The sequence below is a fragment of the Homo sapiens genome, chromosome 10 (assembly GCF_000001405.40).
Source record: "Homo sapiens chromosome 10, GRCh38.p14 Primary Assembly".
Classification (NCBI taxonomy): domain Eukaryota; kingdom Metazoa; phylum Chordata; class Mammalia; order Primates; family Hominidae; genus Homo; species Homo sapiens.
In genome coordinates, this window is record NC_000010.11 from 28,610,506 (window position 1) to 28,638,143 (window position 27,638).

Below are 27,638 nucleotides of genomic sequence, written 5' to 3' on the forward strand. Positions count from 1 at the left end.
GTTTCTTTTTCTCTGCCTCAGATCATTTCAAATTTGGGACCCATTGTATTACTCCTATCTAGTAGGCTTTTATTTTGAGAGTTCTAGGTTGAAATATTCCAGTTTCTTGTGAGTTCTCTTCCTTGTCAGGTTGTTACTAATGCCACATAAGCCTCTTGTTTTTATATGAATGTATGAAATAATATGTTTTTAGTTCTTACAGCAGCTGTGACACAAGCCTCACTGCAGTCTATAATTCATAAGTTTCTTACTGCTGGACCATCTGCTTTCAACATAACGTCTCTGATTTCTCAAGCTGCTCAGCTCTCTACACAAGGTATTCTTACTCATCTTAGATATCTCTAGAATGGCATCTTGATTTTGTTTTGGAATTAATAGCCCTTTTTTGTATTTAGTTTTTTCTTTCATTTTTTTTTTTAGTTTTTTAAGAGATTAGCTACAATAATTTTGTTTTTTTTGTAACACTGGCATATACAGTAGTATTTTTATTTCCTTTCTTTTTAGATGAAGCAAGCTTTGACATTTGTCTTAAGGTATTGCCATCAAATCTGTAATTATTTAAGACAGTATTTAATTCAGACTTTGTTATTAATGAGTTTTTTTATGCCAAAGCTGAAAGTAAACTATGATGTGCCATATATCTTTGTGAAACATTGCATGTATTTGAAGAGTTGAAGTTTGGTTCAGATTGACGTTAGATGTTTTTTGACTGGATAATATGGAAATGCTCATTTTCTGCCTTGAATTAGATATCCCTCTTCATGAAGGTATCCAAATGGAGAGAGATACACATAGGAGCAAATGGGAAGTGAAAGGGTCACTTTGTCAGAAAGCTGATAAACAGCAGGAATGCCTTGTCTGGAATGGAAGTATAATGGTGCAAAGACTCTTGCAACCCTCTGGCTAGCCTCATGAGCAGGAGACTGCGTGGGATACCTGGGCCTAAATGTAGAATAAGAAAGAAGAAATAAGGATGGTGAGGAGGCCTTCCATGTGAGATTAGGTTCAGGCCTAGCTTCCTGTTCCAGCCACATAAAGGAGAGTGGGCCACACTGGGTGTGCTTACCTCTGAACACACAGCTCACTTAGTCAGTGTGGCCCAGTGAGAAGGTCAGATTCTGATTTATTCCAATAAGTGTTCTCTGGGTAATATGGGGGTGGGGGGGTTTAGAGTAATACAAATATCTTTGCCACATATATTACAAAGGACTTTAGTTTTTTGTTTTGTTTTGTTTTTCTTTAAAATTAATTGCTTCCCTCTTTTACAGCCCAGCCATCTAATCAGTCTCCGATGTCTTTAACATCTGATGCGTCATCCCCAAGATCATATGTTTCTCCAAGAATAAGCACACCTCAAACTAACACAGTCCCTATCAAACCTTTGATCAGTACTCCTCCTGTTTCATCACAGCCAAAGGTATGTCACCTTTGAGGGACATTCGGAAAAGAAACTACTTACTTTTGGAAAGTCAATAACATTTTAGAATCTGTTATAGAAAAAGCCCTCTGAGAATGAGGTGTAGTGGTGGAATGAATGACAGGTATGATAGTAGATGCAGCCTAGAATTTCTCAGTTCACTGAGGGATAGAGGGGGGCTTTGAATCTGTGCTACTTTAATAAACCATCTGAGTCTGTTCCCTAATGGTTTTGGGATTTGTCACATGGAGAGTGAGATAAAGAGGATATACTGAGTCTTAATATTTGTAGAATTTTCAAACTCCAAAAGACATGAATGAACATGTTTTCCAGTGACTTTTCCATATTTGTATTTCAAAAATGAGGCAGTTTCTGTGCTAAGAACTTAATGTATGTTTAGCTTTCACATCGTGAGAATCACTTGCTTTATTTAATAGATGAGAAAATCAAACTCTCAGTTAAGTTTTTGTGGTAGAGTCAGAATTTGAAACCTAGGTGTTTGTGAATACAGGGACCCATTTTACTAAGCTTATATTGCCTGTATTTGTCCCAGCAGAATCTTACATGGTTGGCTCCATAGGTGCAGTTAGAAAATTGCTGGTCTAAATGGTAAATGTAGGGGGAATTTCTTTTGAGTAGTTTTGAAACAGTGGGCTGTTTCAGACTTTTTAATGCCAAATAATTCTTTGTAAGATATTAAGCAGAAGCCCAAAAATAAAAATGCATTGAAATATAACTTGAAAGAGGTGGTTGGTCAGCTTTTAAGTCTTCCCGTTTGTTCATCCCTTCCCTACCTTGGCCATTGATCATTGCATGTTTTAGGGTCAATTTAGATTGATTTTTAAAATTCCAAGTTACAGTTGTTAGTTTATTATGCAGTTCCTTATCATTTGCCAGTATTTTAAGGAGGAAAGAATTAAAATGTGAGTTTTGGCAAAAGAGATGTTATTTTTGGAGCTTAGAACTTGTCTTCAGGGTGGCATTTTAAGAGTATAGTAAATAGTGGTTAAAAGTGAAATAAGTGGTAGTATTGGTTTTATAGTCACTTGTAAACTGAGCATTTCAACTCCTTTAAGAAGGCTGGGCGCGGTGGCTCACAGCTATAATTACAGCACTTAGGAGGCCAAGGCAGGAGGATTGAATTAGGCCCTGGGCAATATAGCAAGACCCCATCTCTACAAAAATAATTTGAAAATTTGCTGGGGGAGGCCGAGGCAGGCAGATCACTTGAGGCCTAGAGTTTGAAACAAGCCTGGCCAACAGGCAAAACCCGGTCTCTACTAAAAGTACAAAAATTATCTGGGTGTGCTGGCACAGACCTATAATCCCAGCTACTCGGGCGGCTGAGGCATGAGAATCACTTGACCTGGGAAGTGGAGGTGCAGTTGAGCCAAGATCACGGCACTGCACTCCAGCCTGGGCAAGAGAGTGAAACTCTGAAAAACTTTCTTGGGCATGGTGATGTGCACTACTCAGGAGGCTGAGGTAGGAGAATCACCTGCGCCTGGGAATTCAAGGTTGGAGTGAGCCAAGATCACGTCACTCTGCACTTGAGAGTAGGCAACCAGACTAAGACCCTGTCTGGAAAAAAAAAATCCTTTAAGCAGGTAGCTGTTCGTTTTTTGTGTTCCAAAAACTTCTTCAAGTTGTTTTTAAAATAATTGAACATTTGAGCTTTTATGTAGTGCTTATAAAATGTTCTTTATAAGACTTGACTAGAATTGATAGGTAATATTCAGAAGTTAAGCAGGACATTCCAGATTTGTTAGGGAGAATTATTAATCATATCCCCTCACCCCACCAAAAGAAAAACAGCAGTGAGGTGTGACTTAATCACAAAGGACTCCATCTGCCTTTGTGCCTCAATTTAGAGCTTATATTTTAAACTGCTTTTCTCTATGTGGCTTCTGAATATAATACATATCCTGATTGGCAATCATGGACTTCAGTCTACCTCTGTAGAGTAACATCTCTTTGAAAAACTCTCATGTTGAACTTTATATGGGCCATAACTCATTTTCTGATAGCCCAATCACATATTTCTCCATATCATTAAAATCTAAGCATCCATATGTGTATGATGTGGTAGCATACATAATTTACTTTTATTGATATAAAAGTAACAGTAAATCAGAAGAGATAATAATGTATTGGAAAGAAAACTGAGCTGTAAAGGAGAACTAGTTACTTTTTTTTTTTTTGAGACGGAGTCTCGTTCTGTCGCCCAGGCGGGAGTGCTGTGGCGCGATCTCCGCTCACTGCAAGCTCCGCCTTCCGGGTTCACGCCATTCTCCTGCCTCAGCCTCCCGAGTAGCTGGGACTACAGGCGCCCGCCACTGCGCCCGGCTAATTTTTTGTATTTTTAGTAGAGACGGGGTTTCACCGTGGTCTCGATCTCCTGACCTCGTGATCCGCCCGCCTCGGCCTCCCAAAGTGCTGGGATTACAGGCGTGAGCCACCGCGCCCAGCCCTAGTTTGATAGGGAAGTAATTTTATGACCTTGGGCCATTTTCACAAAGAAATGAGATCTAAGTTTCAGAACTTGACTGCCACATTTTACATGTTTCAAGACGATTACCTAGATTTTGGGGGGAGAGATGTGGATTAGATTTGGAGACCATCTCACCAGATTTTGACATTTCAGGTTAGTACTCCAGTAGTTAAGCAAGGACCAGTGTCACAGTCAGCCACACAGCAGCCTGTAACTGCTGACAAGCAGCAAGGTCATGAACCTGTCTCTCCTCGAAGTCTTCAGCGCTCAAGGTAGGTTGATATTGTATATTGAGACCACATTGTTTTATTTAATGATGGTACACTGCATTGTTTGAATATTATATCTGTAAAATAGAACTTAACCTTTAAACTCCATGAATACCCTAAAGTAGGCTTACATGTTGTAAAATTTACAAAGACAAACCTGTATACAAGAGGTAGGTTATTGTCTCTAGTAGTGAAGCCCGGGTTATTTTGAAGAAAGTGGCTCTTTAAAATTTTACACAGTGGAATATGACGGGGCTAAAGATTTGTGATACTTGTACCAGAAAGGCACACGATTTTACAATATTTGTTGGAATTACCTTACTTTTTAACCTCCTCATAGCAGTTTTGGTTTGAGTATATTGATGAAAGCCAAAGTCTGGTATCTAAAACTTGGGCCAATGTTTCCCAACTGGTATATGTCAGGCTTTCCCAATAGCTTAACTGTGACCCTATACGGATGGCTTTTTAGATAGTTCTATACTGCTGTATTGTGTTAGCACTTTTCTTTGTTCATTAACAACACAACTTTAAATGACATTTGTTGAATGAATGGTTTTCATTTGATTGATTTTCCTGTTTTTTATTTCATGCTATGAGGTAGCAAAATAATTCAACTGTTGTTTTTATTGTTGTTTTCTAAACAAGCATTTCAGAACTTACACCTCCAAATGAGAGTTGTTCCCTTCAAAATAATGACCTTGGGAAGCTGTCTACTTACTCCAGCAATGTTGCCATTGCTCTGAACATTTTTGGGAAATTCTTCTTTTAAATTGTTTTTAGAGGCTGCAGTATTATTTTAAATATCCTCAGTGATGAAAACTCTTCATCCTTTGGGAGATTTAGTTTTTGGAAATAACTGAAATTCATTCAGAGCCAAGTCTGGTGAAGCAGGTAGGAGATCAACTTGGGTGATTAAATTTTTTGGTTCTCACCACCATATCCCCAACCCTGGCCCAAACCATTCAGTTTTAAAAGAAGATAAAGAATCTCAGAGTGTTATTTTTTTGGTTTTGTTTTGCCACTGTGCTTGTTCAGTGCTATCCAATAAAATGTCTGTATTTTGCTTCACATTATTTCACCCTCTGATTCAGCAGTTCTGACGTTGAACAAAGGCAATATATATTTTCCCCTTATCTAGATGTGTATGAGCAGTCTTCAGATGTGCATCTACAGCTGTTAAAATGTGACTTTTTTTAGTTATATTATTAGTGTTTGTGGTACACAAAGTTAACAGGTTCTGCTCTCAGATTTGGAGAGTAGTTTACATTTGACTCTGACAGTAGTGTTAAAAGGGTTTTTTCCCCCTAAAGTGTTTTGAGGAATCATATACTTTGGATTATTAATTCTCTTTATTTGACATTAAAATAACAAATTTTTCTTAGGAATTTGGATATCTTTAAGTTAATAAAAGGTATTAACATGCAGTTTCTAGGATAAGGATACCCAGAAACTACTTTTAAACATACTACACATTCAATTCTGTTTTCTAGTAGCCAGAGAAGTCCATCACCTGGTCCCAATCATACTTCTAATAGTAGTAATGCATCAAATGCAACAGTTGTACCACAGAATTCTTCTGCCCGATCCACGTGTTCATTAACGCCTGCACTAGCAGCACACTTCAGTGAAAATCTCATAAAACACGTTCAAGGATGGCCTGCAGATCATGCAGAGAAGCAGGTATGTTATGTACAGCCTAGATTTTACCTTTGGATGATTAGCAAAACAGAATTTAATCAACTTCTAGAGAATCTAATGTGACCACTGAATTCAAGCAATATTTAAAATAATGAATCTCTAACTTTGTAGTCATTTAAAAAATATTTGATATATAAGATAACTTTTCTGGTTTTACAAAATATTTTAACATAATTATAGGCACTGTTGTCAAGTACTCAGCAGTTAGCTCAGTGCTTAATGCCTTATATTTATTTTCTCTACTTCTTAAAACAGCTAAGCAGTGTAGATAGAGTTGAAGTCCTTAAGACCAAATAGTGCATAAGACCTTGATCCCAGGGTCACCCAGTTAACAGTGATGTGGCTCAAAGCCAGTGTACTTTTTCCACTCAGCTTCTCTGATAGTTTCAGATTCCATTAGCACTGTTAATCTACTGGCCAAGCGCAGTGGCTCATACCTGTAATCCCAACACTTTGGGAGGCCAAGGCAGGTGGATCACTTGAGGCCAGCCAGGAGTTCGAGACCAGTCTGACCAACATGGTGAAACCCCATCTCTAACCACAAGTATAAAAATTAGCCAGGCATGGTGGCATGCACCTGTAATTACAGCTACTCGGGAGCCTGAGGCACCAGAATTACGTGAACCCAGGAGGCAGAAGTTGCAGTGAGCCGAGATTGCACCACTGTACTCCAGCCTGGGTGACACAGTGAGACTCTGTCTCAAAAAAACAAAAAAAAACCCCACTTAATTTTCTATGACTCTCTCACTAGACTAGCAACTGGAAGTTAGGAAACATTTTTGCTTTGGGATGAGAGACCTTAGGACATTCCAGTTACTGCCATTTGCCTCTTGCTTTTTATCAGATAACTGACCATCTGGGGTGTTCGAAAGTTTACAGAGAATATGTTGTGTGTCTTACGATAGAGGAGTATAGTGAGGCTCTTGAATCAATATCTAATACCTGAACTTGCAGAAATGACAATCTCTTTGGCTGACCCAGCATCTTTTATTAACCACAAATTATGAGTCCTTTCTTAGTGCTGTATTAGCTTCAGGTTGGAAATCCTATTTTCTCCAACTTAGAAGAGAAATATTAAAATAAGTACCTTCCACCCTTAGAGACAGTTTCTTAAAACAAATTAATTTTCCCCATTAGGTTCACCAGCATTTTTGTGTATTGAAGGGAAAAGGATTATTCTCTAATCCTAGTATAAAATTGTACTCAGAAATTTAATGTTTTATTTTGTGTATGTTAATGTTTATATTTTATGTTTTCTTCATTTCTTTAATTACAGGCATCAAGATTACGCGAAGAAGCGCATAACATGGGAACTATTCACATGTCCGAAATTTGTACTGAATTAAAAAATTTAAGATCTTTAGTCCGAGTATGTGAAATTCAAGCAACTTTGCGAGAGCAAAGGTAAGTCTTTCACTGAAATATATTTTTATGTTTCTCAGGATTATGATTCTTAAATCGAACTAAAGAATGTAAATCACATTTTATTTATGAAATGTAAAGTTCTCTTCGATACATTGATCACATTCTATCACTGCATTTTCATAAGTTAATATTTCTCGTGAAGGATAAAGCCTGTCGATTTTCTCTTAACCCATGATGAATGCTTCATTAGACTTTTCTCATAACTCCATAAGCTGCAATAATATATTACTGAAAAAATGAAATATTGACCACAACTAATTATAAATGTCCTCTCTTGCTGAGGGTGTTTCCATTGAAATTTCAGATTATTTGTCCTTGCATCATCAATAGATCCCTTGAAAAGTATAGAAAGAATTTGTCTAGCAAGTTTAGTGTATCTGCTGTCTTAGTATTTTTCACCTGAACTCTTGTCTTGTATTTCTTAATCTAGTGTTTCACTCAAGTAGAATATCTAGGTCACAATAATAATAGCATAGGTATTATTTTTTAATGCCTATTACAGAATTGAGGACAAACTTGGCAATGGCTTTATGTCCTGTCTGTGCAAGTCACAGAGTTACAGGTCGATTGAATCTTGTCAAGAAACCATAAATATTTAGTAAATACCAAATGGAGTTTATAGTACAACTTGAAAAAGTAAGTTTATTTACAGTTACTAAAATATCTGGAGGTACTCTCTGAGTAACAACTTGGGTTCTTATAGTCAGATTGCTCTGAAAGTAGTTCTAACAAACTTCATTTTGGCTTGTTACATCATTCGACTTTTGGGAAATTATTCATTATTGCATCTTAGGAAAACAGTATATACAGTCAAATATCAAGCCAGCCTGATTATGCCTAATTCATGTGTACAGGCAATAAATATTATAGTTCCCAGAAGAGAAGAGTAAAAACAGGAAATATTTTTACGTTCATGGGAATCTGGGTAACTGGGGTTTGTGTGTTTCAACTTTTGGTTTTTGGCTTCATTTTTATGTACCTACATCTACATTGAGAATTGCTCTTCTAAATGATTAATCTCTTACACCTGGTTAATTCTACTCTTTACTGTATAGTGGGCCAGAAAACATGCAGTATAGGTTTATTTCATGTATAATAGCTACTGCTTTCTTTATTGTGATGATACGGTTTATAAAGTAATACATTTTAAGTTGTTAGAGCCAAAGGAATTATTAAGAAATTGTTAGAAAAGGCTGGGCGCGGTGGCTAACGCCTGTAATCCCAGCACTTTGGGAGGCCAAGGTGGGCGGATCACCTGAGGTCAGGAGTTCAAGACCAGCCTGGCCAACATGGCAAAACCCTGTCTCTACTAAAAATATAAAAATTAGCCGGGCGTAAGGACAGGTGCCTGTAATCCCAGCTACTCAGGAGGCTGAGGCAGGGAGAATTGCTTGAACCCGGGAGGCGGAGATTGCAGTGAGTCAAGATTGCACCCCTGCCCTCTAGCCTGGGCAACAGAGCAAGACTCTGTCTCAAAAAATAAAATAAAATAAAAAGTTGTTTGAAAACTAAAACATCCTTTCATCATCCTTATACTTTAATAGATATTATGTATTAAATGTTTACTTTGTCTTAACTGTAAACCAATTTATAGTTAAATAATTTTTTAAATTTCTTTGCCTTAATTAGAAATCACTTGTTTTAATTTAAAAAATTTTAATTATAAAAGCTCGGGTTTTCTGTAATATTTGTATATGTACACAGGTTCTAATGTCTGCTTTTTTTTTTCAGGATACTATTTTTGAGACAACAAATTAAGGAACTTGAAAAGCTAAAAAATCAGAATTCCTTCATGGTGTGAAGATGTGAATAATTGCACATGGTTTTGAGAACAGGAACTGTAAATCTGTTGCCCAATCTTAACATTTTTGAGCTGCATTTAAGTAGACTTTGGACCGTTAAGCTGGGCAAAGGAAATGACAAGGGGACGGGGTCTGTGAGAGTCAATTCAGGGGAAAGATACAAGATTGATTTGTAAAACCCTTGAAATGTAGATTTCTTGTAGATGTATCCTTCACGTTGTAAATATGTTTTGTAGAGTGAAGCCATGGGAAGCCATGTGTAACAGAGCTTAGACATCCAAAACTAATCAATGCTGAGGTGGCTAAATACCTAGCCTTTTACATGTAAACCTGTCTGCAAAATTAGCTTTTTTAAAAAAAAAAAAAAAAAAATTGGGGGGGTTAATTTATCATTCAGAAATCTTGCATTTTCAAAAATTCAGTGCAAGCGCCAGGCGATTTGTGTCTAAGGATACGATTTTGAACCATATGGGCAGTGTACAAAATATGAAACAACTGTTTCCACACTTGCACCTGATCAAGAGCAGTGCTTCTCCATTTGTTTTGCAGAGAAATGTTTTTCATTTCCCGTGTGTTTCCATTTCCTTCTGAAATTCTGATTTTATCCATTTTTTTAAGGCTCCTCTTTATCTCCTTTCTTAAGGCACTGTTGCTATGGCACTTTTCTATAACCTTTTCATTCCTGTGTACAGTAGCTTAAAATTGCAGTGATTGAGCATAACCTACTTGTTTGTATAAATTATTGAAATCCATTTGCACCCTGTTAAGAATGGACTTAAAAGTACTGCTGGACAGGCATGTGTGCTCAAAGTACATTGATTGCTCAAATATAAGGAAATGGCCCAATGAACGTGGTTGTGGGAGGGGAAAGAGGAAACAGAGCTAGTCAGATGTGAATTGTATCTGTTGTAATAAACATGTTAAAACAAACAAAAATTGTTATTTTTCTTTTCCTTCGGTCAGTGCACATTAGCATTTGAACTACCTGGGGATTCTTTATCAGAACTGTTCTTGTTGAATATTTATACTTAATTGAAATAATTCCTTAAGGGAGGTTTTGTTTAAAACGTATTAACAGGAAATTGTGTATGAGATATTTAATGAAATAAGAAATTCAACAAGAATGATTAAGTCACTTCCCAAGTGGTTGTCATTTGTTAAACCCTGGTTTACCTGTCTTGCTATTATGACATTTCATTTGGAAGGATGTTTGTGTTGTAGCTAACTGTTCAAGTCTGGTGCTGACTGCTGTTCTTAGCCATCACAAAACGCTAAATTTGTGTAATTGGAGCTTCCTGCTGTTATCTGGAAATAGCAGGAAAGCGCAGCTTTGTATATTGTTTCCTAAAGTATATTAAAATAAAAAAAGAAACTATTGCTACTATAAAATTACCTTGACTTTTTTTTTCCTTTGCTGAAATATTAGTCACATAGCCTTAGCTTCACACTGCCAGTAATGTATCAAATCACAAGGGTTTCCGCATGAAAAAAATCTTTTCTTCCCCCACAAAAAAACCTTTACCATCAAAATCTTGCCATCTGATTTAGAAAGGTGTTTCTTCTTCTTCTTCTTTTTTTTCTTTAAATTGGTTTAGGGTTTTTTGGTGATTTTTTTTTTTTTTTTTTTTCTGTTGGGGCAGATAAGTGCTTCCAAAACTGGCAGCACCAAGGGCTTATTTTTTATGTTAGACATCAATGTCAATGTTACTACATTCTCGGATGCTAACATAAATTTTGAAATTGCTCTTGTGCTTTAAGCATATATTGAAAGTATGGAAGTTAAATGTTCAGGCTTTTCAGTAAGCTCAAAAAGTTAACTGTAAGCGATAGTGTTGGTGTTTTCTAAAATACAAAAATGTTCCAGTGTAATTAAAAGGAATTAAAATCTTGAAGATATTTTCCTGTAATTTAAGGATACTTTTTAAATGTAAGAAAAGACATGTCATTAATTTATTGTCATGTTTATACCTCTGTGAGATTGTTAACATCTGCTGAATTTAACTAGTGCATGTAAATGAAACCCCAAAGAGCTGTGTGTTCAGCTAGAAACCTTACTGTATCTTTCCTGGAAAGAAGTGAGCAATTTGTTGTAATAGGCAAATGTTTCCTGATCAGATGGCAATTTGTGATTTAGGTAAATTTGAATTTGATTTGCTTATAGTCTACTGGTCTGTGTACCTATGTTTTGTTTTTCAAAAAAGTTTACATCCCTAAATGAATTAGTCACATATATTTAGGAGAAGATGCCTAATTTGGTATTTCTTAATAGTGAATTTTTTTTTTTCTTGAGACAGAGTTTCACTCTTGTTGCCCAGGCTGGAGTGCAATGGCACGATCTCGGCTCACCGCAACCTCTGCCTCCTGGGTTCAAGCGATTCTCCTGCCTCGGCGTTCCGAGTAGCTGGGATTACAGGCATGCACCACCACGCCTGGCTAATTTTGTATTTTTAGTAGAGATGGGGTTTCTCCATGTTGGTCAGGCTGGTCTTGAACTGCCAACTTCAGGTGATCTGCCTGCCTTGGCCTCCCAAAGTGCTGGGATTACAGGCGTGAGCCACCGCTCCTGGCCAGTAGTGAATTTTTAAACACAGAAAATCTAAAATTTTGTGGAAATATTTTAAATATTGCACCTTAATACAAGGTATCCAGCTCCTAACCTTAACTAGGGAATATCTATTAAAATAAGCATAATGTTCTGGACTAGAGTATTCCTTATCTAGTTGGTTATGGATTTGAACATGTACCTTGGTTTAGATACTTTGAAAATAGAAGTACTGAATAGCCTCTAGGGAACTTGAGTGGCCTTTCCCTCCCCCTGCCCCCCCCCCCCCCCCCCCGTTTTAAAAGATCAGTAGTCTCTATTCAAACTTTTAAAATGTCGTGGTATTGTAACAATATATTTGATGAAAGAAGGTTACAGACTCCCCTGAAGAACCAGCTTTCCTACGCTTTTTATTTTTCTAACTTGTCTAACCTGATTTTAAAATGACTGCAATTCCAGACTAAAAACATGCTTCAGCCCTGTTTCAAGACATTATGCTTCTTTTAACAGTCCAAATTAGTAGTTTTATTTTTCTTCTAAATCTTTGTTTCACACTTGTAAAATCTTGGGAAGGAGGTTCTTAAAACTTTGCCAGGAATTGTTACCCATTTCCAAAAACAGTTTATTATGTTCAAAAACCACCATATCTTTGAGGGACTGTTTGAAAGGGGAGAGGGCAACGCGGGAAATAATTCACTCTGCGCACCGGAACTATTGTAGTTCAGGACTTCCAGCTACTGTATTTAGATGTTGGGTTTGAATATACAGATTTCTTTTCAATACCTGTAAATATGGCTATATTCTTGTATTTGTACGGGAGTGTACAAAATGACACTGAAAAGTAATAAATATGTTTTGACTATATTGTGCAGTTATTTCAGAACTGTGTTTTGAAAGTCTTAGAATGCATAATTTGCATTTGAGTAAGGAAATTTAAAATACAGATTACTGCTGAGATTTTAATCAGTCGGTGTGTTTCAATAGTCTCTGAAACATTTTAGTGAAAATTATGACGTAAAATTGGGATTCTTTAGGTCCTGCTCTAATTTGCGGTACCCTCCTTTTCCTGATCACGACCTTTGATAGTGCCCTAAAGTGCAGCCTGTCTAGAAGATCTCATCCAGGCTCTTGGCTCTAAAAACCCCTTCATGTGCTACTTTACATCCCGATTATCTCCAGCCCTGATCTCTTTGAGTTCCCAAAAACAGTCCACTTAGATGCTTTCCTTAACACGGCATGCACTCCAAAAAGAACTCACGGTTTGTGCCTCAGATTATTCTCTTTTAGTTTTTTAGTAATTGACACCATCATTGTTAAAGTTGCCCAAAACCCAAATCAAGTCATCCTTCTTTTCTAACACTCGATATTTAATCCATCAAGACCCACAAGCTCTTTGAAAATGTTTCCTTAATGTTCACCTCTCTAGTCCAATCCACGATCATCTTTGAACCAAATCCCTGCCACAACCTCCTAACCTTTCTGCTTCTACTCAGATCTCCCAAGGTTTTCTCCACCCCACCTCCGCACACACACAACCTGTTCTCCACCAGGCTGTTCTGTTCATAATCCTGCAATGATTCACACTCAGAATAAAACCCAGAGCTCATACCATGGCTTGCGTGTTCAAGCCCCTGGTTATTGCCACGTTTTCATCGCTGCAGTCTCTCCTTGCAGGTTTGCTTTCCTCTGCCTAGAAAGCTCGTGATAGAAATTGGTACAGCTTGCTGCCCCTTTATCAGTCTCCTCAAAGAGGCCGTTCCTGGGCCAGGTGCAGTGGCTTACCCTTGTAATCCTAGCACTTGGGAGGTCAAGGTGGAAGGATTGCTTGAGCTTGAGTTTGAGACCAGCCTTAGTGAGACTTTTTTTGTTTTTTAGCCTTTGCTGATGGCTCATACCATCTAAAAACACCTCCATCACTCTTCACTCAGGTTTTCTTCGAAAGAACACCAGATGTGTTGAGTGAATTGTGAATGTTTAAAGGGCTTTGGACGAATCTGAACCTGTGAAGATGTAAAAAGGTTAATGAATTTTTTTTCTTCGTTTTGATTTTGGTCCCCTCACCTTGAGAGATGGAAGAGGAACAGCAAGTAGCATTTTTTTAAAAAAAATGATTACACTTTACGATTGATCACCAAAACCTAACTGCAAACCTGTCCTAAATTGTTAGCATATGTAGTCTCTAAGCAAGGGTAACCAACTAAACCGGTAATCATAGCCTAAGAGGGACCAGTAAGCATATTCCTAAGAGGAACACGTTTTAGGAGTAAATAAGCCAATGAGAAATGAGATGCTGCTTCTGATGCGACAATCCTGGGGAGATGGACTGGTAGGAGGAAGTGACCCTGCTTCTAAAGCCAGGATTGGGTGAGGCATGGGGGTTGGAGATTGGCCTGGTTTCACTAGGTCACCTGGTTTCACAGGTTTCACCTGTGGTTTAGAAGATGCTTTGACATCCAACCAGCCCCCTTCTGACTTCTAGAACAGGAACCAGGCACTCATCACATTCTAAGCTGTGTCACTAATGAAACATCTGTACTACCCATACCCATCTTAAAGGAAAAAGGCTAGGATGTAAGAATTGCCTGCCTTTGCAATGGATGGGAAGATTAAGATTGAACAGAACTTGATGCCATTGTTTTTCCCCATAAATGAGCTTCCTTTTTTAAGATGCCTTCTGTTAATTGCCCAATTTGATCAGCGTATCTAAGTGTGCTAGTATGAACTGTTTCTTACACTTGTAGGCAGTTCAAGGGCTTTATCTTGGGACAACAGAATGTAAGGACAGTGATTTTTGTCATTTTTGTGACTTATGTATCCCCATCACCTAGAAGAATCAACACACGTTGGAGAATCAACAGATATTTGTCAATAAGCCTTTTAAATTTCACGTTTTGCCCCACATTTTGATGCCTTGACATTTTATTACCTTTATGAACTAAAAAAGTGATAAGCTGAAAATACTACCATGGTTGGTGAGGGCTCTCACTTTTAAGATGTCAAGAGTCGTTTCAGGCTACACTTGTCTGTATCTTCACAAGCACAAGAGTTCCAAAGATACTACCTAAAATACAGTGGTGTGAAAAAATGCTTGATACCATTAATCAGGGAAATGGAAATCAAAGCCACGAGATATCAACTCCACTTTTGACTGTTATCAGATGAAAAATAACATGCTGGCAAGGACTGGAGAAAAGAGAACTCAATCACTGTTGGTGGGAATGTGACACTAGTACAGCCATTATGGAGAGTGGTATGGAGTTTCCTTAAGAAACTACAAATAGGGCCGGGCACAGTGGTGCATGCCTGTAATCCCGGCTACTCAGGAGGCTGAGGCAAGAGAATCGCTTGAACCCGGGAGGCGGAGATTGCAGTGGGCTAAGATCATGCCACTGCACTCCAGCTTGGGCCACACAGAAAGGCACTGTCTTAAAAAACAAACAACAATACAAATAGAACCACCATATGATCCAGCAATTCCTTTAGTAGCATTTCCTATACCTAAAGAAAAGCGTGTATCAGAGATATCTGCAACCCCATGTTTACTGCAGCAAGCACTATTCACAATAGCTAAGATAGAGAATCAACTTAAGTGTCTCTCAGTGGATGGATAAAAGTGTGGTACGTATACACAATGGAATACTATTTGGCCATTAAAAAAATGAAATCCTGTCATTCCCTGGAGGACATTATGTTAAGTGAAATAAGCCAGGAACAGAAAGATACATACTTCTCATATGCAGAACCTAAACAAGTTGGTATCATTGAAGTAGAAAGTCGTTACTAGAGGCTGGGAAGGGGAGAGGGAATAGGGAGAAACTGATTAATTGGTTAAAGGATATAAAATTACAGCTAGACGGGAGAAATAAAAGTGTTCTATAGCACTGTAGGCTGTCTAGTTGATTTTTTTTTTTTTTTTTTTTTTTTTTTTTTGGGATAGAGTCTCACTCTGTTGCCCAGGCTGGAGTGCAGCCTGGGCTCACTGCAACCTCTGCTTCCCAGGTTCAACCTCACTGCAACCATCTCGGCTCATTGCAACCTCCACCTCCCAAGTTCAAGCAATTCTGCTTCTGCCTCCTGAGTAGCCAGGATTACAGGCACCTGTCATTATGCCCAGCTAATTTTTGTATTTTTGTAGAGATGGGGTTTCACCATGTTGGTCAGGCTGGTCTTGAACTCCTGACCTCAGGTGATCCACCCGCCTCAGCCTACCAAAGTGCTGGGATTACAGGTGTGAGCCACCGCGCCCAGCCGAGGGTCCTCTTTTAAATGTGCAAAAAACTTTCCAGTTTGAACACAGTGTGAATTGCCTTCAAGAAATCTCACAGGGATGACATCATAACAGTGGAGCCCTGCAGGCAGGCCTGGGACAAAAAGATGCAGATCTGGGGAAGGAGAGGCTTCATTACAAAATCCTTTTCACTGCTTTTCCCTCAGTGGGGTTTCCAATTATGTGAACCAATTGCAAAATTTTTTCAACATTTACTTTGGTTAAATGCATGTCTCCCAGAAGAATTTGTCAGATGACGGGAGCGATTAACTTCAGAAATGGACGCACTCTCTGGTTCCCACGATCCTAGTGAGATCTTTTCATTCTACTTCTTCCACACATGCCCGTTCCCCTCTGCCCCAACCCTGCAAGACAAGATATCAACTAGCACTTTGGGAACCTTAATCGAGTCTCTTCACCTATTGTTATTTTCCATGTGGACTTTGCTGGAGCTAGCATTTCCTGCTTTAGTGTAAAAACAGAAAAGTGTTAGAAAAGCCGCTGGTAGAGAATGAAGGTGAGAACCTAGGAAGAGAAATGTGTCTGTGTCCAGCACTAGAGGAAGGAACTGAGCTGTTACCATGTAGTTGAACCAGGAAAGAGGAAAACTGTGCCTGGGGACAAGGTCAATGCAAACTGCAGAGCAAATGTCAAGCCTTTCCACTGATGCCTTGGCAGCCATTCATCATGGGGACCCCCTTGTCTGCATCCTCTCTGCTTCCAAAGAATCACTGATGATGGTCAATAGGAGGTTCTTGCTGCAAATCACTCTGGTGAATTGCATTTAATGCCGTGTAAGAATTACCATGTTTTGTTTGGCTGGGGCCACTGAACTTCTCAGGCAGGGGAAGACTGCATATCTCCAAGAAGGTTTAATGCTACCATTGAGTTTCTTGGCTGGAATCCATCCCACATCATTCAGCTTGCTCGTTAGCACCATGCAGTGCCTAGGAGTCCCACTCATATGGAAGGGCACTCATGTCAGCTTTTCTAAGTGTGGATGTTTGACATTCCAGCTGTCTCTCCTCTCTCCTCACTCAACAGTGATGCTGTGACTTCTTATTTTGAAAAATATCAAACGTATAAAAAGTTGAAAGAACTATACAGTGAGCACCTACTCGTATATTCCCCACTGAGATTCAATGATTAACGTGGTCCTATTTCTCTACCTCTCTTTCTCTGTCTCTGTATGCTCTTTTGTTTGAACCATTTGAAAGCCAATTGTAGAAACGGTGGGACATACCCCTACACACTTTAGTGTGACTCTCCTAAGAATAAAGCCATCATCCTACATAACTATAATAAGCTGGGCATGGTGGCTCACACATGTAATCACAGCATTTTGGGAGGCCAAAGCAGGCAGATCACTTGAGGTCAGGGGTTCGAGACCAGACTGGGCAACATGATGAAACCCCATCTCTACTAAAAATACAAAAATTAGCCAGGTGTGGTGGTGCATGCCTGTAGTCCCAGCCACTTGCGAGACTGAGGTACAAGAATCGCTTGAACCTGGGAGGTGGAGGTTGCAGTGAGCCGAGATCGCGCCATTGCACTCCAGCCTGGGTGACAAAGCGAGACTGTCTCAAAAAAAAAAAAAAATTTACATATATACTGTCATCACAAAAGCAAACACAATTTGATGGAATTTGGGGACAGGAATAATTAGAGAAATATCCCTATGGAGGTCAAAGCAGAGGAGGTTTCACGTTCTATTGTGCAAGCAGGCTTTTCCAATTACTCCCTACAAGCATACTGAAATGTTTTACAATGAGCATGTTCTTTTGGAGTCAGAACGAAAAAAAATACAAAACCTTTTAAAGCAGCGGTCAGGAACACTGGGTCTCAGCCACGTCTGTGGTGGCCACTGGGCTTGTCGTGGGCCTTCAACACCAGGTGGCGGTGTTGAGCTACATTCAGCAAGCCGGTACTACCCGGTGAGAAGCCTCCCTGGGAAACTAGGGATGGGGCAAGAGAAGGGTGGTTGCACTTTCAAAGTAAATGTCAGAACTTCAAGTAAATCCCTAAAGACATAGGAAGGGGGAAATGACGGAGAACTTAATGAACATATACCTCTTTTGGGGGAAGATGTTCTATACATTGTCTCAGGAGGCTGATCTACTGAATTCAAACCCTCATTCTGTCCCCTCCTTGTTGACTTGCCATGTACAAGCAACTTGACCCAGAGAATGCTGGGTTTTGTTTTATCCTATGTAGGATGACTGGCAGGGATACGGGTGACGAAAGCCCTGAGCACAGGGCCTGACACCGTGCAAGTGCATACAACGTGCTGGCTACTTAACCATGATGACTCACTTCTCTCCACAACTGAGCCACTGCTGGCTTTGTCCTCTCGAAAACCTCTTCTGCCTCTGCTCTAGTCACCTTGTTCGCAGAGCTACCTGGGTATGGGTGGACAGTGGCTTCTTTTGCAGAGTCAGGGAGGTGGACAGCACCCACATGTTGAGAGCAGGACTGCGTCACAGGCTGCAAGCACAGGAGAGTTATCCATTGGCCTCCAGAGTCCATCCTGTAGCATAAGTGTACTTATACCTGATGGACAAAGAATCTTGATTTTGGGTTCAGAATATATTGGCACAAAACCACCCTAGAATGGAAACATTCAGGCCCTCGGCCGGCTTTGCCAAGCTCCCTCCGGAGCATGCACAGTAGCTGCTTTGTTTCATAGGATGGCATCAGCCTCTCCTAAGAAGCAGGTTGGAGAGGACTCGGGGTCACTGGGTGGCTCATCCCAGCCAGCAAGCTGACCCAGAGCCCTCCCTGACAGCTCTTGCCACTGCCCACGTCCACCCAACATTGCACTGATTTCTTCTACCTGCTGCCGGTGTGTGCCCTCCCTTGTCAGAGCTCCTCTTGCCCCTTTCTCCTGGGAATGCCCGCCTCTTCCTCTAGGTATCTGCACCCAGCATCGTTCAAGAGCTGGGCAAATGCCCCTTCTTAGTGCAGATCCACTCTGCTATCTCCAGCTGTTTCCTCTGCCTGGAATGATCCCCCAAGAGTCTCAGGTGATTGGTTCCTTCACACCTCCTAGGTCTTGGCTGCAGTGCCCCTCCCCGGGGGACCTTCCCTTCCTAGTCTCGCTATCCTGTCACTCTGGGTATTTTCTTTTTCTTTTTTTTTTTTTTTGAGATGGAGTTTTGCTCTGTCACCCAGGCTGGAGTGCAGTGGCGCAATCTCGGCTCACTGCAACCTCCACTTCCCAGGTTCAAGCAATTCTCCTGCCTCAGCCTCCCAAGTAGCCAGGATTACAGGCGCCCGCCACCATGCCCAGCTAATTTCTGTATTTTTAGTAGAGAAGGGATTTCACCATGCTGTCCAGGCTTGTCTCCAACTCCCGACCTCAGGTGATCCGCCTGCCTCAACCTCCCAAAGTGCTAGGATTACAGACGTGCGCTACCATGCCCGGCCCACTCTGCGTATTTTTTTCATGGCATGTGGCCCTCTCTAAGTTTACACTAATTTATCTGTATCAGGAAAGGTCATTTTATTTTTAACGTATTTATGGTTTCTTTCCTGCTACTCGAGTAATAAATAAACTCACCAAGGGCAGGGACTTGGTCTTGTTTATTGACTGCTCGGTCCCCACACCTACAGTAGGGCCTGGCACATGAGAGATGCTCCATATGCCAGATGTGGTGGCTCACACCTGTCATCCCAGCACTTTGGGAGGCCAAGGTGGGAGGATTACTTGAGGCCAGGAGTTCAAGACCCTGTCTCTAACAAAATCAAAAATTATCTGGGCACAGTGATACCCACCTGTAATCCTAGTTCCTTGGGAGGCTGAGGCAGGGGTATCACTTGAGCCCTGGAGTCCGAGGCTGCAATGAGTCATGATTGTGCCACAGCAGTCCAGCCTTGGTGACAGAGCAAGAGCCAATCTCTTAAAAATAAAGTGCTTGGTAAAAATTACTGAATGAATAAAGACCCCGGCCCCCAAACTGGAAGCAGTCATACACTCTGGCAAACTCCCTCTTGCTCTTTGTCTGAACCTCTCTCATCCTGTGGAAGCTGATAGCTCTGGGGCTCTTCTGTCCAGACAAGCTGGAAGTGAGATGGGAAACAGCAGCCCCAGCACACTCAGCTTTGTGTCTTTGAGAATGCTTGCCTTGTGTATCATTCCTTGGCTGGTTTTGGCTGTCTTCTGGCCTCAGGTTTATCCTTTGGTGTTTATAGGAGTTTTCTGAGCTGGGGAGGATCCTCAAGTCTACCATTCTGGTGACCCTATGCACATGCCACTCAGATCTGCATTGATCCGTGAGCAGTGGAAGCAGTCTAGACCGCGCCTAGGACATAGGAAAGGAATAAAGGAGCAAACTGTTTAGCAACATGGAAGCTGCAGGAAGCATCTGCCTGCCCTATTCTAACCACTCTGAAAAACCCAAAGCCTTGTGGCTGGAGGGATCTACTTCCCATTCACTCTCATCGTGTAAGCCGACTTGGCTTCTGTACCTCCATGCCATGGACCGGCTTAGAGGAGAAGGACATAGGGCTGCTGCGGGTGGAACAGGGTTAGCAGTGCAGGTGAGCAACAGCCCAAAGTGGACAGTGATTCTTTTTGTTTGTTTGTTTGTTTGTTTGTTTTGAGACAGTCTTGCTCTGTTGCCCAGGCTAGAGTGCAGTGGGACAATCATAGCTCACTGTAGCCTTGAACTCCTGGGCTCAAGTGGTTCTCCCACCTCAGCCTCCCGAGTAGCTGGGACTACAGTTGTGCACCACCATGCCCGGCTAATTTTTTAATTTTTTATAGAGACAGGGTCTCACTCTATTGCCCAGGCTGGTCTGGAACTCCTGGCTTCAAGCAATGCTCCCACCTTGGACTCCTAAGTACATGTGACTAGAGGTGTGAGCCACCATGCCCAGCTAACAGTGATTGATCTATACAGGAAGATAGCAGCCAGAGGCTGACAGCAAGTGAGAGGGCAGGAGCCTGTACAGACTAGGAAAGGGGTTAGGTCATGGGTGAGGAGACCAAGGCTTAGTTCAACAACCATGGACACAATGAGCACCTAGTGGAGGGGCACAAAGGTTCCAGCCCACATGGAACTCACTGCATGGATTTGTGCAAAGCTCTATTCTCAACAGAGTCTGGGTTGGAAGGCAAAGAAACTAAGAAAGGCGAGTGCCCTGAGAGGATTGGGGACAAGCTGAAACTCAGCTGGCACAGGAGGACCTGGGCTTTCTCTACATGTTGAGTTTATAGTACAGGGCAAGGTGGAATTAATCTCCAAAGTGAGCACCAAGTTGTCAGCCAAGACAATCAGTGAAAAGAAATGTAGTGGCTAGGAGTTCAAGACCAGCCTGGGCAGCATAGCGAGACCCCATCTCTACAAAAAAATTAAAAAATTAGCTGGCAAGGTGGTGCACCTATAGTCCCAACTACTCTGGAGGCTGAGGTGGGAGGATTGCTTGAGCCCAGGAATGAGGTTGGGTTTACAGTGACAATGAGCCGTAATTGTGCCACTGCATTCCAGCCTGGGTGACCAAGTAAGACCCTGTCTCTCTCTCTCTCTAAAAAAAAAAAAAAAAGAGAGAAAAGAAAAAAAAAAACAAAGAAATTCAGGTGAACCTGAGTTCAAATGTCAACCCTGCTCATTTCTAATTGTAAGACTGCGCAAATCAGCTCTCAGAGTGCATGTGAGTTCCTCTTGCCTCACCAGGGGACTGGGTGACCTTCTCTGGCTTTTTTGTTTGTTTGTTTTTGAGACAGGGTTTTGTTTTGTCACCCAGGCTGGAGTGCAGTGGCATGATCTCTGCTTCCTGCCACCTTCCAGGCTAAAATGACCCTCCCATCTCAGCCTCCTGAGTAGCTGGGATGACAGGTGTGGGCACCACCACATCCAGTTAATTTTTGTGTATTTTTGGTAAAGACAGGGTTTCATCGTGTTGCCCAGGCTGGTATTGAACTCCTGAGCTCAAGCGATCCATCCACCTCAACCCTTCAAAGTACTGTGATTACAGGCATGAGTCACAGTGCCCAGCTGCATAAGTTTCTCTGAACGGTGACTGTAAAAACTTAATGAGATCACGTAGGTAATGTGCCAGCCCAGTGTTTGGCCCATAGAATGTGCTCAAGAAATAGTACTTATTACAGCTAGGATAATTGGGTGAAAAGCAGGCATTAGTAAGATAGTGAAGTTTATTTTTCTAAGGAGTTAGCAAGAAATTAAAACAGAAAAACACGTGTAAAGAGACTGATGATATTCATATGGGCCTGCTTAACTCTGAGCTTTGCTATTTTACTCAGGTCACTTAGAGGAATAAAAGAAAGTAAAATTCAGCTGGGAGAAGCCAAGTCTACTGAATGACACATCATTCTTCTCTTTGCCAAAGACAGAGATGCTAGTTAGTGGGTTGAGCACTCACCAATGAGTAGGTGCTCTCTTACCTCTGCAGAACTGCAAGCATATTAATGACTGCTTTGTAACCAATGCCTGGGAGCTTTTTTTTTTTAAACCTTAAGAGGAGGAAACTTGAAAAATCTTCCTGAGAGAAAAGGCAATATAAGTTGATTTCACAGTTAACACCTGAGAGTGCTTAATTTGAACCAGGAATGTGTGCATATGTGTGTGTGTATATGTGTGTGTGTGTGTCTCTTTACTGCATCTTCATTTGTTGCTTTCTACAATTAGAAATCATGAAGAGGGGCTGGGAGCGTTGGCTCACGCCTGTAACCCCAGCATTTTGGGAGGCCTAGGCGGGCAGATCACCTGAGGTCAGGAGTTCGAGACCAGCCTGACCAACATGGAGAAACCCCATCTCTACTAAAATTACAAAATTAACCGGGCGTGATGGCACATGCCTCTAATCCCTGGTACTCGGGAGTCTGAGGCAGGAGAATCATCTGAACCCGGGAGGTGGAGGTTGTGGTGAGCCGAGATGGCACTACTGCACTCCAGCCTGGGCAACAAGAGCGAAACGCCGTCTCAAACAAAAAAAAAAAAAAAAAAGAAAGAAAAAAAGGAAAGAGAAGTCATCAAGAGAATTAACATCATTAACTAGTCACTTGTTTTTGCATCAATGACTGTGTGTTAGGCCGTTCTTACATTGCTGTAAAGAAATACCTGATACTGGGTAACTTATCAAGAAAAGAGGTTTCACTGGCTCACAGTTCTGCAGGCTGTATAGGAAGCGTGATGCCGACATCTTCTCGACTTCTGGGGAGGCCTCAGGAATCTTACAATCATGGCGGAAGGTGAAGCGGGGGCAGGCATGTCACACGGCAAAAGCAGGAGCAAGTGAGATTGAGGGTGGGGGCAGAGGGAGGTCCCACACACTTTTAAATGACCAGATCTCGTGTGAACTCAGAGCGAGAGCTCACTTATCGCCAAGGGCATAGCCCGAGCCATTCATGAGGAATCCACCCCCATGATCCAAACACCTCCCCAGGCCCCACCTCCAAAGTTGGGAATTACATTTCAACATGAGATTTGGGCCAGGGCAAATATCAAAACTGTGTCAGACTGTTTCACGCGCTACATTTCTCTTATCTTTCAGCTTTCCATTCCAGGTCAGTTTGTTTATTTAGCCAGGGCTACCATGCATGACTCAGATAGGAGCAGCTACCCAGCAAGCTGGTGGTGCCCAGTCAATGGTAACGAGCCTCGGAAATGCCCAACCACCTTGTAATGGCAATTACAAACATGCTTCTTGGGCTGAAAAGGCAGATTAAAAGGTTCAATCATTTATCAAATACCTACCATATATTAGGTGGTTGTATATAATAATCTCTATAACCAAACAAAGCCACAACCCTGTGGGGTTGTCATTCACCTGCCCAAGCAGTCATTGGGTGGTTGGGAGGTTAAGCCCGGATTTTACCGCCTATGTGTTCTCTGATACGGAGCCACATCGGAGAGGCTGCATTCAGGGAGTTCTCCTGCCCTTTCTCCTGTTTTCTTCCATCTTTGGGACCAGTTTAATTTCAGTCGTGCAATTATCTCTGAGATTCAGATGTACCTATGAATTAGGAGAAAGGAATATTTTCACAAGAGACTCTAGGACTCACAGGCAGGAGCACAAGCATAGTGGCTTCAACGCCCAAGTGACAAGGTGTCATGCCTATTGGTAAAGAGAGACGGATTTTTTGCTCATTCATTCAAAAAAAATTTTTTTTTGAGACCAAGTCTCGTTCTCTTGCCCAGGCTGGAGTTCAGCGGCGCCATCTCGGTTCACTGCAGTTCGAGATCAAGCGATTCTCCTGCCTCAGCCTCTTGAGTAGCTGGGATTACAGGCGCGTGCCACCATTCCTGTCTAATTTTTGTATTTTTAGTAGAGATGGGCGTTTACCATGTTGTCCAGGCTGGTCTCGAACTCCTGACCTCAAGTGATCTGCCCGCTTTGACGTCCCAAAGTGCTGGGATTACAGGTATGAACCACTGCACTCAGCCCATTCATTCAACAAATATTAATGGAGCAACTACTTATGTGCCAGAAACTGTCCTAGGTACTTAGGATAGATACATCAGTGAACAACAACGGTAACAAACCCCTGCCATCATGAAACCCACAAGCTTCCACAGTGGGGAATAGACAATAAATGGTAAATATAATAGATAAGCCAATTATGTGGTCATTTAGGAGGTGGGAAATGATATAGAGTGGGACAGGATAAGAAAATCCAGATGTGCATGTGGCCAGAAGAACCAACTGCAATTTTAAATGGAGTGGTCAGAATAGACTTGGTTGAGAGGTGACATTGATGCCAAGACTTGATTTGGCCATTGCTAAGGGAGCGTCACAAAGAGGAAACTGCTTGGCACAGTGGCTCATGCCTGTAATTCCAGCACTTTAGGAGGCTGAGGCGGGAGGATTACTTGAACCCAGGAGTTCAAGACTAGCCTGGGCAACATAGCAAGACCCCATCTCTACAAAAAATTTTAAGAAAAAAAATTCAGCTAGACATGCCTGTAGTCTTAGCTACTCAGGAGGCTGGAGTGGGAGGATCGCTTGAGCCCAGGAGTTCGAGGCTGCAGTGAGCTCAGATTGTACCACTGCTCTTGGGTGTGAGGGACAGAGGGAGATGCTGTCTCCAAAAATAAATACATAATACATACATAAGAGGAGACCACTGGCACAAAGTCCCCAGGTTAGAACAGGACTACTAGTGTGTGGAGCAATGGAGTGACCAGTGTGGAGATGAGGAAGAGAGAAGGGGAGAAAGGTAACAGGGCACACATGGTGCAGATGGTACAGGGCCTGGAGGCCTGGTAAGAACGTTGGCTTTCACCCTAAGCAAGATATGCCCATTGGAGGGTTTTGATCATGGCAGTGACGTGATCTAACTTACATTTCCAAGGGCTGTGTCTTGAGAACAGATTGAATGGGGGTGGTGGTGAGGAGAGAGGCAGGGATACCCTTCAGGAGGCTACTGCCGTAACCCAGGTACACCTGCTGGTAGCTTGGACCAGGGCAAGGCAGCAACATTGTGACAAGAGGCAGGGTCCTGGGAGATTTTGAAGGCAGCTCAATAGAACTGCCTGTTGAATGGGATGTATGGTTTCAGAGGAAGAGAGGAGTTGAGGATGACTCCAAGATTTTTAGAAGAATAAAGTTGGCAGTAAGTGAGATGGGAGGTTTCCCGGTTCTGCACAGGGTACCCTATAGCTTTGGTGCTGCATTGGAGGCTGTGGATGGCACAGGTCGCTCTTGGCACCTTGCAGCACCGGGGGCTGTGGGGAGCAGCACAGCATCCATGAAGGGCCCAGTGATCCAATGGAGGGACCCTATTTCCACCTCTAGTCTTGGTCCCTCAAGCCATCGGGAGGAGCAGTGATGTTAGTCTTTCAGAGAAGCTCCTTTAGAAAATGACTGAGTGTGGCCAGGTGCGGTGGCTCACGCCTGTAATCCCAGCCCTTTAGGAGGCTAAGGAGGGTGGATCACTTGATGTCAGGAGTGTGAGACCAGCCTGGCCAACATGGTGAAACCCTGTCTTTACTAAAAATATAAAATTAGCCAGACATGGTGGCAGGTGCCTGTAATCCCAGCTACACAGGAGGCTGAGGCAGGAGACTCACCTGAACCTGGGAGATAGAGGTTACGGTGAGCCAAGGTCGTGCCACTGCACTCCACCCTGGGCAACAGAGCAAGACTCTGTCTCAAAAAAAAAAAAAAAAAAAAAAGGAAAGAAAAAAAGAAAGTGACTGAGTGAGGTTTCAGAGAGCAGGGTCCAGCCTTAGACTGGATATGACAGTGCCCATGAAGCTGCAGGAGTGACCTCCCACGAGGTCCTGTCTGTACCTGCAGGCCTGCACGGACTCAGGGCGGCTTGTGTTGCAAGTGTGCATGGAGCAGGGTTTCTCTATCCAGGCATGCTACTGGGCTGTTCCGGTCAGGGGGTTACTGCAACACCTGCCAAACACACAAAACCAGGCTTGTGAAATAAGATAAAGAACCCACCTTTGTTTTTTGAGCTCTTTTTCAGCCCTCCCTGTTAGACCCCAAAGTCACCCATAAATCCAGTGAGGTTGACTGCTCTTATATCTCAGGAATTCCTGAGTAGGGCAGAGCAGGTGGGACTGTGCTTCTGTAGGCACTGACCACAGGCCTTCATCTCAGCTTAAAAGCCATGAGCATCTTGGGGAGGGCGACCCTGCAGCCTGGTTTGCTTGGCAATGTTCCACTTATGTCTGTTGAACTGGCACCTCAAGTAACCCTAAATTTCCCTCTCAAAAGTGTTTCTATCATGGGTGCAGTGGCTCACGCCTATCATCCCAGCATTTTGGGAGGCTGAGGCGGGCAGATTACCTGAGGTCAGGAGTTCGAGAGCAGCCTGGCCAACATGGTGAAACCCTGTCTGTACTAAAAATACAAAAATTAGCCAGCATGGTGGTGCATGCCTGTAATCCCAGCTACTCAGGAGGCTGAGGCAGGAGGATTGCTTGAACCCGGGAGGCAGAGGTTGCAGTGAGCCGAGATCATGCCACTATACTCCAGCCTGGGTGACAGAGCAAGACTCTGTCTCAAGAAAAAAAAGAAAGAAAAAAAAACCAGTTTCTGTTTGGATGATAAATTACATGGCCACTGTGAGGGTACTAGTACTGTGTGTTACTGGCTGGGGTCCCAGGGTCCTGGTGAGACTCATGTGTCCTTACCCATCGGGCTGCTAGCCTGAGCGGATCACCTGGTCCACACCAGCGAAGATTTCATTGATTGGAAGAAGATCTGAATTAAGCTGTGACTTGTCCTTGCTTCCAGAGGAATTAGTTTATTTATGAGATTAAACTAATCTGCACCTTCTGCTCCAAGGACTTAGAGTCGAACTAGCTGATTGTTATTTAGGTTGAACCAAGCCAACGTATTCAGAAGGGCTGGGGAGAAGACACAGGGGAACGCAGGGAACATAGCCTCTGCCAGGAGCATTGTAGACAAAACAGAGCTTTCCGTCTTGGGGGAAAATGCAAAACCAAAATTGGATTTTTGGTAACTGCTCAGTCATTTCATGTAGAAGGACCACAATTATTTTTTTATGTTTTTGTGAAATGTTTTTTTCAAAGTGGAAAGTTACTACCACTGCAACCACCCCCAATTTAAAGTAAACACATGCTCATTAAAAAAAAAAAAAAAAAAAGCCAGATGCAGTGGTTCACAGCTATAATCCCAACAGTTTGGGAGGCCAAGGCAGGAGGATCGTTTGAGCTCAGAAATTTGAGACCAGCCTGGAAAACATAATTAGACCCCATCTCTACAAAAATAAAAAATTGGACATAGTGG

At 42.0% G+C, this 27,638-nt stretch overlaps 1 protein-coding gene across 17 annotated transcripts in view, besides 1 other annotated feature; it reads left to right on the forward strand.

Moving 5' to 3' along the window:
- Window positions 1–12,607, forward strand: part of WAC (WW domain containing adaptor with coiled-coil) — a 90,334-nt gene extending 77,727 nt beyond the window's left edge. For 12 of the 17 annotated variants that reach the window (XM_047425320.1, XM_047425315.1, XM_047425321.1 and 9 more), the window contains 6 exons: window positions 194–316; window positions 1,269–1,417; window positions 4,062–4,180; window positions 5,668–5,857; window positions 7,152–7,279; window positions 9,032–12,607. In XM_047425320.1, coding sequence (XP_047281276.1) covers window positions 194–316; window positions 1,269–1,417; window positions 4,062–4,180; window positions 5,668–5,857; window positions 7,152–7,279; window positions 9,032–9,101 — 779 coding nt within the window. In that variant the 3' untranslated portion in view covers window positions 9,102–12,607. Of the gene's footprint in view, window positions 1–193; window positions 317–749; window positions 977–1,268; window positions 1,418–4,061; window positions 4,181–5,667; window positions 5,858–7,151; window positions 7,280–9,031 lie in introns of those variants that run through there. The other 5 variants (XM_047425311.1, XM_047425318.1, XM_047425313.1 and 2 more) reach the window with 2 other exon arrangements.
- Window positions 17,707–17,886: a silencer, noted in NCBI's record as "silent region_2256". NCBI's record gives its function as "represses an Ori minimal core promoter by ATAC-STARR-seq in GM12878 lymphoblastoid cells {active_cell/tissue: GM12878}" and the evidence as "EXISTENCE:reporter gene assay evidence [ECO:0000049][PMID:35858748]".